The sequence below is a fragment of the Homo sapiens genome, chromosome 3 (genome assembly GCF_000001405.40).
Source record: "Homo sapiens chromosome 3, GRCh38.p14 Primary Assembly".
Lineage (NCBI taxonomy): Eukaryota > Metazoa > Chordata > Mammalia > Primates > Hominidae > Homo > Homo sapiens.
In genome coordinates, this window is record NC_000003.12 from 49,104,829 (window position 1) to 49,108,049 (window position 3,221).

Below are 3,221 nucleotides of genomic sequence, written 5' to 3' on the forward strand. Positions count from 1 at the left end.
AATGGGGTCCTTCCTTGGCGGGAGGGGGCGGGGCGCTCCAAGGTCGTCTATCCCCTTTAAACAACACAGGGCGGACAAACCGGCCTTTCCGGGGGCTTTGCTTCCGCCTCCGTGGAACTGGGAACTTGAAGGGGTGTTGGCAGGCGGCAGGGCTTTTGGAGATATTTGCCACGGACCTGGAAGGAAGGTGTTCGTCCCTGAGGCAGGAGGAAGACACAGGCGTGGTTTTGCTCTGACTTTTCTACTTCAGCCCTGGTAACTCCATCTCAATATAGTAATTGTCCTCGGGGGCAAATGCGAGTCCCTGTCACGCTTTTGACGCCACAGCTTTGGAGTTGTCATGGAAACAGTTGAACAAATGAAGCCCAGGAAATCCCTCATCCAGACTCCATCGTAGAGAATGTGTGGAATGACCGATCCAGGGGCCCCATAAGTCCGCCGGTTTTCAGGTGCCCACTTGGACACAGCTGGCCAGGAAAGGGAAGGGACGGGTCTGGGCCAGGAGGGACCTCACATAAGTTCTATGATGATTTGGTTTAAAATCTTGGCCGGGCGCAGTGGCTCAGGCCTTTAATCCCAGCACTTTGGGAGGCCGAGGCGGGCGGATCACTTGAGGCCAGGAGTTCGAGATCAGCCTCGCCAACATGGTGAAACCCTGTCTCTACTAAAAATACAAAAATTAGCCGGGCGTGATGGCGCACGCCTGTAATCCCAGCTACTCAGGAGGCTGAGGCTGGAGAATCGCTTGAACCTGGGAGGCGGAAGTTGCAGTGAGCCGAGATTGTGCCACTGCACTCCAGCCTGGTCAACAGAGTAAGACTGTCTCAAAAAAAAAAAAAGAAAAGAAAAAAAAATCTCATCCCACACTTACCCTCTTGCCAAAGCATTATCAGGAAAACCACAAGCAAATTAGACCTTGAAATCCCTCTGCAGGCCTTTGAGAGGATATTTTATTGAGCTTGTGAGAGGGTGGGACAAATGAGATGGTTATAGCTTCATGATTATAGCTGTTGTGCTTGGGGATCTTTCCACAGTCTCACTGGACTTCCAGGACCTGCTGGCTGAAACAGAACAGAGACTTTGTGTGTGTGTGAGAAAAGGGACTAAGGTAGTAAGGGACTGAGGTAGGGGGTTGCAGAGAATGAGCAGCTGGTGGTGGGATGGTGGAAATCCCCACATTTGAGATTGGAGCTCTTGCAGGAATTGGTGATGCTCATACTTCTGGACCTTCAAGGAATAGGCAGGATCCTGACTAGTCTTTATCTATATTCTGTGTCTTTTGTGCCCACATCCCATTATTAATGACCAACCTCCAAGTCTGGGCCTACATCTGGATACCACCTAATGATCACATGCCAGGTGCAGACCAGGGCCACATGCTGTATCGCTATCCAGGTCCAATGCTGTCCTGGGGCTTCCCACATCTCCATGGCCCCGTGGCCCCAGCCAGATGCCTAGCCCTGCAGTGTACTGCATGAGAAAGGCCAGGTGCAGGAATTAAGCAGGGGATGCAGACCAGTGGTGCTAAGGACAGGTACCAAGAAGCAGAGCCATAGCCACACCAGCCGTGCACCAAATTTGAAGCTGCAAGTACCCAGCCCACCATAAAGGTGCCCATGGTGAGCAAAGCCATGCAGAGTGCCTGCCACTGCCACTATTTCCTCAGTACCTGATGCTGCCAATAGATTCACTGTAGCACCATCACCAAGTCCTACAGGTCTAGTGATGGCTCCCTCAATGAGATCAAGATCTGCACTCCCTTCCCTGGTTACTTCATGGTACACTGTGGACGCCATGGCTACAAGTCATAGAATGAGGCAGTAGCCCCACCAGTGTCACCAAGAATGCCACAAGTGGTAGCATACCAGTCGATATCCAGCTAGTGCCCTAGATGTCTACGACTTGCACAAAGCAGAAATGTTAAATTGTATGGGCCCAGTCTGGAGGTTAGCTTGCCTGCATAAGCCCCTGGCACTGCTTCCAGGAAAAGTCAAGACAAAGATGACCAAGTGGAAAAACCAGGCAGCAGCCAGCAAGGCCCAGTCGTGGAATGGACAGAGGTAGGGTCCAGCAACCTCCTGGGCTCAAACGATCCTCCCATCTCAGCCTCTGAAATATTTGGGACTACAAGTGCATACCATAAGAGCCAGCTAATTTTTATATTTTTGGTAAAGACAGGGTCTCACTATGTTGCCCAGGCTGGTCCTGAACTCCTAGGCTCAAGCTATCCTCCCACCTCGCCCCAAAGTGCTGGGATTACAGGCATAAGCCACCACACTTGGCCAGTTTCAGCAACTTTTTTTTTTTTTTTTTTTTTTGAGACGGAGTCTTGCTCTGTCGCCCAGGCTAGAGTGCAGTGGCGCGATCTCGGCTCCCTGCAACCTCCGCCTCCCAGGTTCAAGCGATTCTCCTGCCTCAGCCTCCCAAGTAGCTGGGATTACAGGTGCCCGCCACTGCACCTAATTTTTGTATTTTTAGTAGAGACGGGGTTTCACCATCTTGGCCAGGCTGGTCTCGAACTCCTGACCTCATGACCCACTCGCCTCGGCCTCTCAAAGTGCGGGGATTACAAGTGTGAGCCACCATGCCTGGCCAAAGAAGGAAGGCTTCAGGAACTCTTAAGGGAAGACTCTTCAGGCTGGCAGGCCCCAGCACCCTCCCTCCAATAGAAGTCAGACAAGATTCACTCTGGTCCTCTCTGCTTGTCCTCTTTTCAGGGCAGCAAGATCTGCCCCACAGCAGTTTTCCTCCTGCTCTGTTACCTGCAGGGATGCAGTTAGTGTTCAAGTTACAGCAAAGAAAAAGCTGAGGACAGGAGAGGAGGAGGAAGATCTCCCAGTACTTCTGTCCCCCAAGTCCTCCCTGACTTGTCAGCCCCAGGCTGCTCTGGTGAATGCACCTTTTACTCCACGCTGTCAGCTCCAGTGCTTCATATACTCCTCTGTCCCTTGGCTATATTGAGATCCTGACGATGCCTACCAAGCTGCCTCTTATGTAGGATCCAGAACCAGTGGGATGAAAGAGCAGCAGGTAGGCTCCAAAAAGCTGATAGCACTGGGGGCTTCATGACCCATAGGACATGAGCTGGGACCCCATCATCTCCCTTCAGACTAGGGCACTTTCAGGGTCTCTCATATATAAACACACATACACACACATACACACCGCAAATGATGGGGAGGGGAGGTGGCCCCAGCATGTGGTGGATCACAGTCACTAAG

The 3,221-nt window shown here is 51.9% G+C and overlaps 2 annotated features.

The window, feature by feature from the left end:
• Positions 101–260: an enhancer, noted in NCBI's record as "active region_19854". NCBI's record gives its function as "activates an Ori minimal core promoter by ATAC-STARR-seq in GM12878 lymphoblastoid cells {active_cell/tissue: GM12878}" and the evidence as "EXISTENCE:reporter gene assay evidence [ECO:0000049][PMID:35858748]".
• Positions 454–1,103: an enhancer, noted in NCBI's record as "H3K27ac-H3K4me1 hESC enhancer chr3:49142715-49143364 (GRCh37/hg19 assembly coordinates)". NCBI's record gives its function as "activates a minimal SCP1, AML or CMV promoter by ChIP-STARR-seq in naive H9 embryonic stem cells {active_cell/tissue: H9 hESC(naive)}" and the evidence as "EXISTENCE:reporter gene assay evidence [ECO:0000049][PMID:30033119]".